The 15,634-nt window shown below is 53.2% G+C and overlaps 1 protein-coding gene and 1 long non-coding RNA gene across 8 annotated transcripts in view, besides 1 other annotated feature; one reads left to right on the forward strand and one right to left on the reverse strand.

The window, feature by feature from the left end:
- The window catches only part of GP6-AS1 (GP6 antisense RNA 1), a 38,091-nt gene extending 32,347 nt beyond the window's left edge, over window positions 1–5,744 (forward strand). For both annotated transcript variants that reach the window (XR_001754012.3, XR_001754013.3), the window contains exon 3: window positions 4,227–5,744. This is a non-coding gene — a long non-coding RNA (GP6 antisense RNA 1). The remainder of the gene's footprint in view (window positions 1–4,226) is intronic.
- The window catches only part of RDH13 (retinol dehydrogenase 13), a 30,418-nt gene continuing 15,313 nt past the window's right edge, over window positions 530–15,634 (reverse strand). For 2 of the 6 annotated variants that reach the window (NM_138412.4, NM_001145971.2), the window contains 4 exons: window positions 10,086–10,190; window positions 9,756–9,968; window positions 8,814–8,915; window positions 5,743–6,736 (listed from right to left, as the gene is read on the reverse strand). In NM_138412.4, coding sequence (NP_612421.1) covers window positions 6,501–6,736; window positions 8,814–8,915; window positions 9,756–9,968; window positions 10,086–10,190 — 656 coding nt within the window. In that variant the 3' untranslated portion in view covers window positions 5,743–6,500. Of the gene's footprint in view, window positions 3,564–5,742; window positions 6,737–8,531; window positions 8,916–9,472; window positions 9,685–9,755; window positions 9,969–10,085; window positions 10,191–15,634 lie in introns of those variants that run through there. The other 4 variants (XR_007066569.1, NR_027381.2, NR_027382.2 and 1 more) reach the window with 4 other exon arrangements.
- Window positions 5,952–6,453: an enhancer, noted in NCBI's record as "H3K4me1 hESC enhancer chr19:55555893-55556394 (GRCh37/hg19 assembly coordinates)". NCBI's record gives its function as "activates a minimal SCP1, AML or CMV promoter by ChIP-STARR-seq in naive H9 embryonic stem cells {active_cell/tissue: H9 hESC(naive)}" and the evidence as "EXISTENCE:reporter gene assay evidence [ECO:0000049][PMID:30033119]".

Raw genomic sequence — 15,634 nt, forward strand, 5'->3', positions numbered from 1 at the left:
TTCTGGAATGGCTGTATTTTTTTTTTTTCTTTTGAGACAAAGTCTCGTTCTTTTTGCCCAGGTTGGAGTGCAGTGGCGCCATCTCGGCCCACTACAACCTCCACCTCCCAGGTTCAAGCGATTCTCCTGCCTCAGCCTCCCAAGTGGCTGGGATTATAGGTATGTACCACACCAGGCTAATTTTTGTATTTTTAGTAGAGATGGGGTTTCACTGTGTTGGCCAGGCTGGTCTTGAACTCCTGACCTCAGTTGATCCACCTGCCTCGGTCTCCCAAAGTGCTGGGATTACAGGCATGAGCCACTGCACCCGACCGGCTATAATTTTTTTTAATGGAAAACAGCAGATATTGGTGAGTATGCAGAGAAATTGAACTGCGCGTGCATTGCTGGCAGGGACGTAACATGGCGCCCCTGCTGTGGAAAACAGTTCCAGCAGCTCCTCCAGAAGTTAAACGTGGGATTGCCATAAAATCCAGCAATTCCACTTCGGGGTACACACCTAAAAGAACTGAAAACAGGGTCTCTAACATATTTGTACACAGTGTTCATAGCAGCTTTATTCACAATAGCCAAAAGGTGAAACCACCCACATGTCCATCAACAACAATGGATAAACAACATGTGGTATATACACACAAGGTAATATCAACCAGCCTTAACTAAAAGAATAAAAATCAGCCAGGCACAGTGGCTCACGCCTGTAATCCCAGCACTTTGGGAGGCCGAGGCGGGCGGATCACCTGAGGTCAGGAGTCCGAGACCAGCCTGGTTAACATGGTGAAACCCCATCTCTACTAAAAATACAAAAATTAGCTGGGCGTTAAATTAGCCGGGCATGGTGGCAGGTGCCTGTAATCCCAGCTACTTGGGAGACGGAGGCATGAGAATCGCTTGAACCTGGGAGGCAGAGATTGCGGTAAGCCGAGATCGCACCACTGCACTCCAGCCTGGGCGGCAGAGTGAGACTGTCTCAAAAATAAAAATAAGGCCGGGCGTGGTGGCCCATGCCTGTAATCCTAGTACTTTAGGAGGCTGAGGCAGGCAGATTGCCTGAGCTCAGCAGTTCAAGACCAGCCTGGGCAACACAGTAAAACCCCCAAAAAATACAAAAAAAAAATAGCCGGGCATGGCGGCAGGCACCTGTAGTCCCAGCTACTCCGGAGGCTGAGACAGGAGAATGGCTTGAACCCGGGACGCGGAAGTTGCGGTGAGCCGAGATCGCGCCATTGCACTCCAGCCTGGGTGACAGAGCGAGATTCTGTCTCCAAAAAATAAAAAATATTATAAAAGAATAAATTCAGATACATGCTACAACGTGATGGACCTTGAAGACATTATGCTAAAGGAAATATTCCGGACTTGACAGATAAATACTGCATTGTGCCGCTTATCTGAGGTATCGAGAGGAGTCAAATTCATAGAGACAGGGATTAGAATGGTGGTTGCCAAGGCCTGGGAAAAGTGGGGAGTTACTATTTAATAGGGAGCGCTTAGGTTGAAGATGATGACAAAGTCTGGGGGATCCATAGTGGTGATGGTTACACAACACTGTAAATGTATTTATATTTAATGCCATTGACTGTTTTTTGTTTTTTGGTTTTTTGAGACGGAGTCTCACTCTGTCGCCGAGGCTGGAGTGCAGTGGCGCGATCTTGGCTCACCGCAACCTCCGCCTCCCAGGTTCAAGCGATTCTCCTGCCTCAGCCTCCTGAGTAGCTGGGACTACAGGTGCGTGCCACCATGCCTAGTTGATTTTTTGTATTTTTAGTAGAGACGGGGTTTCACCGTGTTAGCCAGGATGGTCTCGATCTCCTGACCTTGTGATTTGGCCTCCCAAAGTGCTGGGAATACAGGCATGAGCCACCGCGCCCGGCCAGTGCCGTTGACTTGTATGTGCACTTACAGGTGGTTAAAATGAGAACTATCAGGGTGTTGATATCTAAAAACCTCCCTGCCATCATCTTCCCTACATCTCTCATTCAGTGACCATGGTTGAATGCCTGCCACCTTTCAAATATTATGTCAGGCACTCAGTATTGGCAGTTTTATCCATTATAAATGCTTTAAGCTGCATAGAATTTTAAACGTGTTAATAAAAGTAGTTATAAATCTTTAATACATAAGCTGGCTTTAAAATTATTGGTAAAATAAGATTAGAAATGTCTTAAGAATTGTTGGCGTTTTTGTTTGCACTTATTGAACGAGTGGTTTCATGCTTATCCCTGCAGAATACTATGAGATTTGTCATAAGGGTTATAAAACTATAAACCCGGCTGGGCGTGGTGGCTCACGCCTGTAATCCCAACACTCTGGGAGGCCGAGGCAGGCAGATCACCTGAGGTCGGGAGTTTGAGACCAGCCTGACCAACATGGAGAAACGCCATCTCTACTAAAAATACAAAATTAGCTGGGTGTGGTGGCGCATGCCTGTAATCCCAGATACTCAGGAGGCTGAGGCAGGAGAATCGCTTGAACCCGGGAGGCAGAAGTTGCAGTGAGCCGAGATTGCGCCACTGCACTCCAGCCTGGGCAACAAGAGTGAAACTCCATCTAAAATAAATAAAAATAAAACATTTGTTTTTTGTAGAGTTGGGGTTTCACTATGTTGCCCAGGCTGGTCTTGAACTCCTCCTGGGCTCAAGCAATCCACCGACCTCAGCCTCCCAAAGTGCTGGGATTACAAGTGTGAGCCACTGTGCCTGGCCCTATTGGGTCCTTTTAAAAGATACATAAAAAATCAAATGCAACAGTGAAGTCAATCACCCGATGGCAGAAATTGGGGTGCTCCTGGCATGTGGTCGGTCGAAGCCAAGGACACTGCTCAGCATTCTGCAGTGCACAGGACGGCCCCGCCCAGGCGGAGAATGATCCGGTGACACATATAGGTGGGAAGGATGCACGAATGATGGCGTTTAGGAAGAATATTATCACTTCTTTCCCGTAAGAGCAACTTAGAGCAAGAAAATGGTATTATTCTTAGGGCCTTCTCTCTTATGGAGGCTCCAAGCCAGGGTTGCCATGGCAGAAGATGCTGGGCTTGCTTTTTCCTTGAGAGAACTGTACTCAAGATGATGTAACTGTCACCCCGGGTGCCACTTGGGTGCTTTGGAGAAGCGCTCAGACGCGACACGCCGTGACGACTCCGCGGCAGGCAGCCGGACCTGTCCTCTGGCGTGCGGTTCACGGGCTGTGTTTATCCCCCTGGTTCCTTCACAGCCACCTTGGGAAATACGTTGCCTCTGAATCACGCCAGGCAGGCTCTCACTGTGTGTGCTGCGGGGCTGGAAATCAGGGTGACACTCCGCTACCGAACAGCCTGACTAGGAAGCCAGAAAGACGCTGCCGGCTTTAGTTTGTCCTTTGACTTTCCTTGATATGAATGAAGATAGAGCACTTCCACACTGCACAACAGGAAAAGCCCAGAACGCTTCCTGGAGATAGCGAGGGGGTGATGCAGCGGACAGCTATGGCTGATGACCCCCTCACCTCTGACTCCCCCTCCCTCCCTGCTTTCTGAACGCACATCCATCACCAACCATAGGTTCCTGTTTGGGGTTTGCTGGCTGGAAAAAAAAAAAAAAAAAAAAGGAAAGCTGGCTTTCTAGTAAAAACCACTTCCTTTGCTCATTTATCAAACTCAAACGCTAGGAGGGCCACCTAACATCCTCCGTCCCACGCAATGGGGTGTTTCTGGAGCACTCCGGTTTATCAGGGACCCTGTCAGTTGCCATCGCACATGTATATGGGGCCAGCCCCTGTGCCACCGAAGAGGGGGGATATTGAAAACATGTTACAGCCAGGAGCGGTGCCCCCTTGGTTCAAGCAGTTCTTCTGCCTCAGCCTCCCTAATAGCTGGGATTACAGGCGTGCACCATCACGCCTGGCCACTGTTATGTAGTTTTTACCACAATTTAAAAAAGGAAAGAGTGCCTGGGTGAGTCCTACGCACCTATTCGGAGAACCAAAGGCTTTGAGGTTATCCTCGGCCCACCCATCTGATGGGAGTGTTTCTCAAACTTGCTTTTCCGTGATCTCCCAGTAAGAAATACCTACTACACACACACAGTCTCCGGTCGGCATGCTTAGGGTAGTCTTCCAATTCCCCCTCCTGGTATTTACACCCTGGAGTGGTCCGCTCCTCTTGGGCTGAACCTGTAACTTGCTCCCAAGCAAGAGCACACAGCAAGCTCACGCACGTGGTTGTTGGTGTGATTCTGTTTCTCCAGATTGTCTCCATTCCTCCCTGGCTTCTCCACAGGGCCGCTCACCATGGCAGCCGGCTCCATCACCACCAGCCAGCGAGAGGGCAAGACAAGAGGGCTGACGAGGGACGCTACCATCACAGAGGTCAGTTTTGTAACCTAACCACAAGACTAACCTACTGTCACTTCTGCCCTATCCTACTGCTAGAAGCCAGTCGCTACATCTCCCCCACACTCAAAGGGAGGTGGTCGCACCGTGGGGTCCACTGGAAGTTGCCTACCAGACTCAGGTCATCCCAAACACACCCTCTAGCCATTTGGTGTGGCATCGGAAAGAAAACTAAGGCCAGGTACGGTGGCTCATGCCTGTAATCCCAACAATTTGGGAGGCCATGGCGGAAGGGTCACTTGAGCCCAGGAGTTTGAGACCAGCCTGGGCAACATAGCAAATGTTATGTTGCCACCTCTACAAATAATTAGCCAAGTGTGGTGGCATGCACCTGTAGTCCCAGATACTCAGGAGGCTGAGGCAGGAGAATCACAGGTCGAGGTTGTAGTGAGCTGTGACGGCACTGCACTCCAGCCTTGGCAACACAGTAAGACCTCGTCTCTAAAAAAGCAAAAAGGGCTGGGTGCACTGGCTCACACCTATAATCCCAGCACTTTGGGAGGCCAAGACGGGTGGATCACCTGAGGTCAGGAGTTCAAGATAAGCCTGGCCAACATGGTGATACCGTCTTTAATTAGCCAGGTGTGGTGGTGGGCGCCTGTAATCCCAGCTACTCGGGAGGCTGAGGCATGAGAATCGCTTGAACATGGGAGACACAGGTTGCAGTGAGCTGAGATCATGCCATTGCACTCCAGCCTGGGCAACAGAGCGAGACTAGGTGGCTGTTCTGTGTACTGTGGGATATTGAGTAGCATCCCTGGCCTCCCCAGTATCTCAAATATGAAAACATGTTTTCTATCTCGATTACTGAGCTTTTCGGTGCCTCCTTCGGTTCTGCACCTAAGCTAAGAGCCCCTTCATCTCACCCTGATCTCTATCCAGTTTCTAACACAGCAGTCTTGTAAGATGCCCGGACTTAAACGGTTATTTCCTGTGAAACAGGTGAAAGGGGCTTTCATCTCTAAAAAGTCGGAACTTTTTTTTTTTTTTGAGACGGAATCTTGCTCTGTCACCCAGGCTGGAGGGCAGTGGCATGATCTCGGCTCACTGCAATCTCCGCCTCCCAGCTTCACACCATTCTCCTGCCTCAGCCTCCCGAGTAGCTGGGACTACAGGCGCCCACCACCATGCCCAGCTAATTTTTTGTATTTTTTTAGTAGAAACAGGGTTTCATTGTGTTAGCCAGGATGGTCTCGATCTCCTGACCTCGTGATCCACCGCGCCCGGCCAAGTCTGAACTTTTGCATGGCCTGTTGCCCTGGTGATAAACTGATGCCTTGTTTCCTAAAAGGAATAAAGCCATGAGTTGCCTTTGTTCAGCTCATGGGCATTCACCCATGCACAGAGGAAAAATAAAATCTACGACTCGGGTACATTTTCTTCTTTTTTTTTTCTTTTAAATGAGCAAGTTTGAGAGTCTGCAGTTTGGACTACCATGAGAATTGATAGGAAGGTGGGAGTCCCAGGCAATCCCAGGTCCTGTAGCAGCAGCTGGTGGGGTTCCCACTCCATGCCGTGCAGAGCCTGAACTCAGGATGACACCTGCACCTGCTCTCTGGCTGGGCTCTGGCACAGGAAGCCCTCAGCAAACACCCCCGGCACAGCCATGCCATAGCCAGACAACAGCTCGCTGTACCACACCATCATGGGAGACAGCAGTTATTCTGAGCATCTCACTGCTGAAGAAACCAAGGCTCAGAGAGGACCATGCATGCACAAGGTCCCACAGGGACCCAAGAATCCACCAAGTGTCAGACAACTTGCCCATGCTCTTCACGGAGCACCTTGGAACCCTCCCCGACAGGCACCGCTGGCTCTCCTGACGTGGCCTGCAAGTGCACGGAGCCCCTTCCTCCTCGGCCATTCCCAGTTTAGATTCCCAGGGGAAGCATCAGATGGCCCCTCTCCCCTGCTGGCAGCAGAGCAGACGGAACCAGCCAGAGCCCAGGGCAGTGCTCACCTGCAGGCCAGTCCACTGCGGCCAGCACCGCCCCCTAGAACCTACTGCGGGCATGGCGGCCGCCAGTCCTGGGTCTCCCGGCTCAGGTAGTGCCAGGAAGCTGCGGGCATGGCGGACAGCTGTCCTCGGTCTGGAGGCGCCATCCTGGCTTTCAAATCTGCTCCAGAGGTTATCTGGGGAGGGGCTGCTCCCTCACAGAGGGAGCCTCTAAGCCCACCAGGCGGGCACTTTCAGCCCAAAGCCTCCGGGCCACCTCCTCATCCTCAGCCTCGGGGGCCGGGGCCTTCTGTTTGAGTCCATCGAAGTACTTTCCGGAAACATCCGCCAGTTCCTCCGCCACGGCCAGGTATGTGCTGGGCTGGGCGGCCAGCTCGGGGCTCTTGACCAGCAGCCAGAAGATGGGCCCTGCAATCAGCCCACAGGGCATTTAGTCCACACTCGCTCAGAGAGAAGGAAGGAAGCCCCGCTCCCCGGTCAGGGAGCTCCGGGTCCCTGGAGTCCCACAGAGCCCTCCTCTAGCCCTTTCCCCTTGGCTGCCTCCATCTGCAGTTCCCTTCCCTGGCACTGCCCAGGCAAATCCCACCAGACCAGGGATCAGACCAAAAGCTGCCTCCCCCAAGGAGCCTTCCTGGCTTTGTCCAGGAAAATGGAAGCTCTCTTCCTCTTGGTCAGCCCCAGTCCTCACCCTACCCCATTTCTCCTTTAATAACATCTTATTAAATGCACCTGGCACCAGCCTCAGGTTAAGGATCTTTTTTTGGCCAGGCGAGGTGGCTCAGGCCTGTAATCCCAGCACTTTGGGAGGCCGAGGCGGGCGGATTACCTGGGGTCGGGAGTTCCAGACCAGCCTGGCCAACATGGTGAAACCCCATTTCTACTAAAAATACAAAAATTAACTGGGTGTGGTGGCGGGTGCCTGTAATCCCAGCTGCTCGGGAGGCTGGGGCAGGAGAATCCCTTGAACCTGGGAGGCGGAGGTTGCAGTGAGCTAAGATCACACCATTGCACTCCAGCCTGGGTGACAATAGCAAGACTTCGTCTCAAAAAAAAAAAAAAAAAAGGGCTGGGCGTGGTGACTCACGCCTGTAATCCCAGCACTTTGGGAGGCTGAGGCAGGTGGATCACCTGAGGTCAGGAGTTCAAGACCAGCCTGGCCAACGTGTGAAACCCTGTCTCAACTAAAAATAAAAACTTAGCTGGGTGTGGTGGTGGGCGCCTGCAATCTCAGCTACTTTGGGAGGCTGAGACAGGAGAATCACTTGAACCGAGGAGGCAGAGGTTGGAGTGAGCCAAGATTGTGCCACTGCACTCCAGCCTGGGTGACGAGCAAAACTCCGTCTCAAAAAAAAAAAGACATTTATTTATTTATTTATTGAGACCTGGTGTCTTGCTCTGTCACCCAGGCTGGAGTGCAGTGGTGTGATCTCAGCTCACTGCAACCTCTGCCTCCCGGGTTCAAGCGATTCTCCTGCCTCAGCCTCCTGAGTAGCTGGGACTACAGGTGCACACCACCACACCTGGCTAATTTTTGTATTTTTAGTAGAGACGGGGTTTCACCATGGTGGCCAGGCTGGTCTCGAACTCCTGACCTGAGGTAATCCGCCCACCACAGCCTCCCAAAGTGCTGGGATTACAGGCGTGGCTATTAGCCTCGCCAAGTTAAGATTCTTGATGCCAACCAATCACCCACTCCATGTTTTTCAGGATTATAAACACTAGTCATAAAGCATGAACTGCCTGGGGGTGGTGGCTCACACCTGTAATCCCAGCACTTTGGGAGGCAGTTGGATCACCTGAGGTCAGGAGTTTGAGACTAGCCTGACCAATATGGTGAAACCCCACCTCTAGCTGGGTGTGGTGGTGTGCACCTGTAATCCCAGCTACTTGGAGACAGGAGAATCGCTTGAACCTGGGAGGTGGAAGTTGCAGTGAGTGGAGATCATGCCATTGTACTCCAGCCTGGGCGACAGAGCAAGACTTCATCTCAAAAATAAGTAAGTAAAGCTCCAACTGTTTGTTCCACCTATTCTCTGGGCGGGGTCCTGTGCTGGCCCTTTCAAGGAAGGTCTCGTATAACCCCCCCAGTGACTGTGAGGTGAGTCCTATTAAGGCCTGCACTCTGCAGATGAAGAAACAGGCTCAGAGGGGTAACAGCTCTTCCCCAGGAGGTGCAGCTGGTTTGGGGTGAAGCTGGAGTTACCCTGAGTACAGCCTGACTCCAGGCGTCAGCTCCACGGCCTCTTCCTCTGAGACACGGTTTTCTCATCCGCCAGCAGGGCTCTGCCTGCTTCCCGGGGCTGTTAGAGGCTGGCAGGCCAGGTCAACGGAGGAAAGGGACCTGTGCTCTGTGCCTCAGAAGACGTAGGCGAGGAGCAGGCATGAGGCCTCAGGGACGGTCTCTGAGGGAGGGTCCTGGGCCCTGGGCTGAGAAAGCAGGGGTGGAGGGCTCCACGTGGAGACCCCAGGCTGGGAGGGGACTCACCGAGTGTGGTGCTGGAGAAGGTGGAGCCATGGATGCCCGTGTGTCTGCCCAGCTCTGTCCTGGCCACGCCGGGGTGCAGGGCGTTGACAGTCACACCAGAGCCTGGGGAAGAAAGAAAGAGAAGACTGAGGGAGGGGTCCAGCCTCACCTGGGAGGCTGTGGCAGCCCACACCCAGCTGTGGGGCTTCCGGGCACCAGGCTGCTTCCTGCACTCAAACCCCATCGTCCCTCTTGCTCTGGAATCTTAGTGAAGTGGTCTTATCTTGCGGAGCGGCTCTGCCACATGGCTGCTGGGAGCCGAGCTTTCCTGGAGGGCTTCATAAACCCAGAACGCTGAGCTTACCCCGGGAGCCTGCATCGGTGCGTGGCGGTGGGACCTAAGATACTGTAACTCTGACCAGCTCCCAGTGGGGCTGGCACCGCTGGTCCACAGACCGTCTTTCAGAAGCAAAGGCCTAGCACAGATTTCTCAATCTCAGCACTGTGGATGCTGTGGGTTGGGAGGAGTGAGGGGCCATCCCGTGCGCTGTAGGACATTGAGAGCATCTGGGCCTTTACCCTCCAGATGCCCAGAGCAATCTCTCCCCAAGCCAGCTGTGATCACTGTGTTTCCAGGCATTGACAACTGCGGGTCAAAACTGCCCCTGGTTGAGACTCACTGGCTGGAGCCAAAAGGCTGAGCTGCCTGCCCAACAGCAGCAGGGAAGGACATCTGATCCAGGCAGACTAGACCACCTGGGATGAACAGACAATCCTCAGAAGAACGATCGATTAGTGATGTCTGCTTCAGGCACCAGAAGCGGGCAGCGTGGTCCACATGCTCTACTTTTGCTGACTCTGTTCTGGATCCACCGTTTGGCCTCCCATCAGCCTAGGATCATGGAAAGGCCGCTCTAGGCTCAGAGTAAAGCAAGAGGGAGGCCGAGCCTAGCGCCCCCGTACCTTGCAGCCGCCGGCTCAGCTCCTTGGTGAAGAGGACGATGGCGAGCTTGCTCTGGCAGTAGGCGGCTTTGGTGTTATACTTCCTCGTCTGCCAGTTCAAGTCGTCAAAGTCTATGTGCCCAGCAACATGGGCCAGGGACGAGAGGTTGATGATCCGCGAAGGGGCTGAGGCTTTCAGCTTGTCCAGCAGCAAGTTTGTCAAGAGAAAGTGACCTGGATTAAGGATGATGAAAAGGTCACTTTTGACTCACACCTAAAATCCCAGCACTTTGGGAGGACGACGGGGGAGGATCGCTTGAACCCATGGTGCAGCCCCTGCCCAGGCCTCACCCAGGTGGTTAACGCCAAACTGCATCTCGAAGCCGTCCTCGGTGGTCCAGTGGGGGCACCGCATCACACCCGCGTTGTTGATTAGAATGTCCACTCGCTCCTCCTCTGGAAGAGAGGGGTGGAGGAGGAGACATCCCGGTGAGGACAGACCCCAGCCTGATGCACCAGCAGAAACACTCCTGTGCTCCCACAACCTGTGAATGTGGCCTGTGCCGGAAACAGGGTCTGTGCCGAAGTGGCCATGTCAGGATGCGGTCATTAGGGTGAGCCCTAATCCAATGACTGGTGTCCTTATAGGAAGGGAAAACAGAGACAGAGACACATGGGGAGAAGGCCATGTGTGGACAGAGGCAAAGACCGGAGAGGCACAGCTCCAAGGTGAGGGTGGGCCGCCCCCGCTGGAAGTGGAAGAGGCTGGGAGGATTATGGCCCGTCTCACAGGTCACAGCCACAGGGACACCGCGATTCAGACTGCCGGCTTCCGGAACCGTGAGGGAATGCACGTCTGAGGGTGTAAGCCACTGGGTTTGCAGTACATTGTTACAGCAGCTCCAGGACACTCACACGCCCTCCGCACCTCCATCTAAGCCTTGGGACTCCTTCCTGCCGGAGCCCCGAGGCCAAAAACGGGAGGTTACCGGTGGGAGCCCCGGCACCGCAGGCGTGGTTTCATTCCCAAACCTGCCACCTCACTCATACAAGCAACCAAAGGACACACAGATGGAGACTGCAGCCTCAGTTTCCTCAGCTGTAAAATGCGCTGAACCACAGGGCCTTCCTCCCTGTACCACTCAGCTCGGGTTCCGTAACAAAGTGCCACAGACAGGTGGTTTAAAACCTCACAGACCTGGCCGGGCACAGTGGCTCACGCCTGTAATCCCAGCACTTTGGGAGGCCGAGGTGGGCAGATCACCTGAGGTCAGGAGTTTGAGACCAGCCTGGCCAACATGGAGAAACCGCGTCTTTACTAAAAATACAAAATTAGCCAGGCGTGGTGGCATGCACCTGTAATCCCAGCTACTCAGGAGGCTGAGGCGGGAAAATCGCTTGAAACCAGGAGGCAGAGGGTGCAGTGAGCCGAGATCGCATCATTACACTCCATCCTGGGCAATAAAAGCAAAACTCCATCTCAAAAAAAAAAAAAAAAATCACAGTCCCAGAGGCTGGAAGTCCCAGATCAAGGTGTGGGCAGGGCTGGTTCCCTCTCAGGGCCCTCAGGGAGGATCCGCTCTGGTCTCTCTCCTTGGCTCACAGGTGACCATCTCCTCTCTCCCTCTTCCCTTCCTCTTCCCTTTGGAGCTGTCTCTTTTTTTTTTTTCATTTTTCCTTTTTTAATTTTAGATTTTTCAGACATGGTCTCACTATGTTGCCCAGGCTGGTCTCAAACTCTTGAACTCAAGCAATCCTCCTGCTTTGGCCTCCCAGAGTGCTGCAATTTCACTGCCCCCAGCCTATTTTTTTTTTTTTGGGGGGGGGAGATGGAGTTTCACTCTTGTCACCCAGGCTGGAGTGCAATGGTGCGATCTTGGCTCACTGCAACCTCTGCCTCCCAGGTTCAAACAATTCTCCTGCCTCAGCCTCCCAAGTAGCTGGACTACAGGCATCCACCACCACACCGGGTTAATTTTTTGTATCTTTAGTAGAGACGGGGCTTCACCATGTTGGCCAGGCTAGTCTCACACTCCTGACCTCGTGATCCACCTACCTCAGCCTCCCAAAGTGCTGGGACTGCAGGCGTGAGCCACCACACTCAGTCTACTTGGCCTATTTTTTATATTTCTTTGAGACAGGGTCTCCCTCTGACACCTGGGCTGGAGTACAGTGGCGCAATCACTGCTCACTGCAGCCTCAACCTCCCAGGCTCAAGCAGTCTTCTTGCTCAGCCTCCCAAGTAGCTGGGGCCACAGGCATGCGCCACCATGCCCAGCTAGCACGTCTGTTTCTGTGCGCAAATCTCCCCTTTTCATAAGGACACCAGTCACTGGATTAGGGCCCACCCTAATGACCTCATTTTCACTTCAGGACCTCTGTAAACACCCACCTCTAAATGAAGTCACATGCTGAGGGATGGGGGTTCAGGATCCCAACCTATCCTTGGGGGTGGAGGACACAATGGAATTCATAATGCTCCCGAAGTGGTTTTCGGCGGGGATCGTGAATTAGGTGTCCAGCGCGTAACACACAGACACCATCTGGTTCTCTGTGTGAGAAGGAGGGGGTTGCAGCACACCCGTCATGAATACCAGCTCTGGAGCAGGACAGACAGGTTCAAAGCCTGGCTCCACCCCGACCAGCTGCATGATCCTGGCCAAGTCACATCACTTCTCTGTGACTCAGTTTACTCCTTGTAAAAAAAAAAAAAAAAAAAGGATAATAACATCACCTGCCTGGTACAACTGTATACTTACTCATTCAGTAAGTATTTTCTAAGCACCTATTACTGGGCACTGGAAATACAGGGTGGACAGCACAGCCGAGGCCCCGTCCGTGTGGACCGGACATTCCAGTGCAGCTGAGAGCCACTTCCACTCGTGAGAGAATCTACCCGTGACAGAGCTGCGTGGAAGCTGACAGGAGGCCCCTCTCAGGAGGTGACGCAGAAACTGGGACCGGGAAAATGAGGCAGGGCCCACGTGCGGAGACCCAGGGAAGGGGGATGCAGGCAGCAGGCGCAGCACGGGTAAGGCCCAAAGGCGGGACAGGGAGACTCCACTCACAGCTGGGCGCCCAGGAGTGCCGCCAGCTTCTGGTGTTTTGTTTTGGTTTTTTTTCTTTTTTTTTTTGAGATGAAGTCTCACTCTGCCACCCAGGCTGGAGTGCAGTGGTGTGATCTTGGCCCATGGCCCACTGCAACCTCTACCGCCTGGGTTCAGGCGATTCTGCTGCCTCAGCCTCCCGAGTACTGGGATTACAGGTGCCCGCCACCGCACCCTGCTAATTTTTGCATTTTTAGTAGAGACGGGGTTTCACCATCTTGGTCAGGCTGGTCTTGAATTCTTCACCTCGTGATCCACCCGCCTCTGCCTCCCAAAGTGCAGGGATTACAGGTGTGAGCCACCGCGCCCAGCCTGTTTTTTTTTTTTTCTTTTTATGAGAGGGAAGCTCACTCAGTGGCCCAGGCTGGAGTGCAGTGGCGCGATCTCAGCTCACAGCAACCTCCGCCGCCAGGGCTCAAACGATCCTCCCACCTCAGCCTTCCACATAGCTGAACCACAGGCGCCCGACACCACAAGCAGCTACTTTTAAAATTTTTTGTAGAAATGGGGTTTGGCTATGTTGCTTAGGCTGGTCTCGAATTTCTGAGCTTAGGCAATTCGCCCACCTCGGCCTCCCAAAGTGCTGGGATTGCAGGCGTGGGCCACAGTGCCTGGCCTGTTGTTTTGTTTATCTGGGAACTGCCTCAACTTTTTTTTTTTTTTTTTTTTTTTGGACACAGGGTCTCACCCCGAGTGCAGTGGTACAATCAAAGCTCACTGCAGGCCGGGCGTGGTGGCTCACATCTGTAATCCCAGCACTTTGGGAGGCCGAGGCGGGCAGATCACCTGAGGTCAACCAGCCTGACCAACATGGTGAAACCCTGTCTCTACCTAAAACAAAAAAGTAGCCGGGCATGGTGGCAGGTGCCTGTAATCCCAGCTACTCAGGAGGCTGAGGCAGGAGAATTATTTGAAACCAGGAGATGGAGGTTGCAGCCTGACCAACAGGAAGAAACCCCGTCTCTACTAAAAATACAAAATTAGCCGGGCGTGGTGGCGCATGCCTGTAATCCCAGCTACTCGGGAGGCTGAGGCAGGAGAATCACTTGAACCCAGGAGGTGGAGGATGCCGTGAGCCAAGATCCCGTCATTGCACCAGCCTGGGCAACAAGAGCAAAACTCCGTCTTAAAAAAAAAAAAAAAAAATCCCTCACTGCAGCCTCAACCTCCCAGGCTCAAGCAATCCTCCCACCTCCACCTCCCAAGTAGTTGGGACTACAAGTGCACACCATCACGCCTGCCTCATTGTTTTTTATTTTTTTTTTGAGATGGAGTCTCACTCTGTCACCCAGGCTGGAGTGCAGTGGCGCCATCTCGGCTCACTGCAAGCTCCACCTCCCGGGTTCACGCCATTCTCCTGCCTCAGCCTCCCAAGTAGCTGGGTTACAGGTGCCCGCCACCACGCCCGGCTAATTTTTTTGTGTTTCTTAGTAGACACGGGGTTTCACCGTGTTGGCCAGGATGGTCTCGATCTCCTGACCTTGTGATCCGCCCGCCTCAGCCTCCCAAAGTGCTGGGATTACAGGCGTGAGCCTGCACGCCTGCCTGATTGTTTTGTATTTTTTGTAGAGATGAGGTCTTGCTATGTTGCCCAGGCTGATCTCAAACTCCCTGATAAACAAGGCTGTGGGTACCTGCTTCCTGGGGCTCTTTGCTTTGTGTTCTTTCTAGTCGGGAGCTGGGAAGAGCCACAGCTTCCAGCTTTGTCAGAGTGTCATCTCACAAACTGATCTTCCCAAAACTTCTGTCTCCCAAAGTGCCGGGATGACAGGCGTGAACCGCTGCACCTGGCCTGCCCCAGTGTGGTAGAATACACACCACATAAAATGGACGATCTTCACTATTTTTAAATCCACTGCTGTCTTTATTCCTGGCTGTTGATCTTAGGAAAACACCAAGAAGCTGGTACTTGATTTGCTAAAAAAGTCACAGACACAGCTTTACTTAATCCTCTAGAGAGGCTGGGCGTGGTGGCTCATGCCTGTAATCCCAGCACTTTGGGAGGCCGAGGTGGCTGGATCATGAGGTCAGGAGATCGAGACCATCCTGGCTAACACGGTGAAACCCCGTCTCTAGTAAAAAATATAAAAAATTAGCCGGGCGTGGTGGCAGGCGCCTGTAGTCCCCCGCCACTCGGGAGGCTGAGGCAGGAGAATGGCATGAACCCGGGAGGCGGAGCTTGGAGTGAGCCGAGATGTGCCACTGTCCTCCAGCCTGGGCGACAAAGCAAGATACCGTCTCAGAAAAAAAAAAAAACCCCTCTAGAGAATCCCAGAAAATAGAAGGAATTATTCCATTTCCCGGAAGAGGAACGTGTGGCTAAGAGAGGAGGCATCACCTGCCCAGGTGTGTCCAGCCGGGGTCCTCACTGTCTCAGGGACCTCAGTGCTCCGGACACCTGTGTCCACAAGCCAGAGACAGGATCAGAGGCGCCCTGGGTGGGATTGCCTGGGACAGTGTGCATGAAGGTGACAGTGCTGTACCTGGTACACAGCAGGTGCTTAATAAATGTTCATCCACCTCTGAGACTCTGAGGCATTGCCCTCTCACTGTTCTTTGTGATCTCACCGTAGTGCCTCTCACCTACCCGACAACAGTGCCGGCTCTTTCTTGATCCCCAAGGGCACAGCAGGGGCTCAGTATGAATGAATGAATGAACCAACGAATGTGCACCTGCACCTGCCTCCCTAGGGCTGTGAGTGGCACAAGGACAGCTCTGGTTCATCTCACACCTCCAGCACCTGGTCAGGTCTGAGATCACGTCTGCTAAATAAATGAGGTCCCACAACTCCC

Source organism: Homo sapiens, chromosome 19, assembly GCF_000001405.40.
Source record: "Homo sapiens chromosome 19, GRCh38.p14 Primary Assembly".
Classification (NCBI taxonomy): domain Eukaryota; kingdom Metazoa; phylum Chordata; class Mammalia; order Primates; family Hominidae; genus Homo; species Homo sapiens.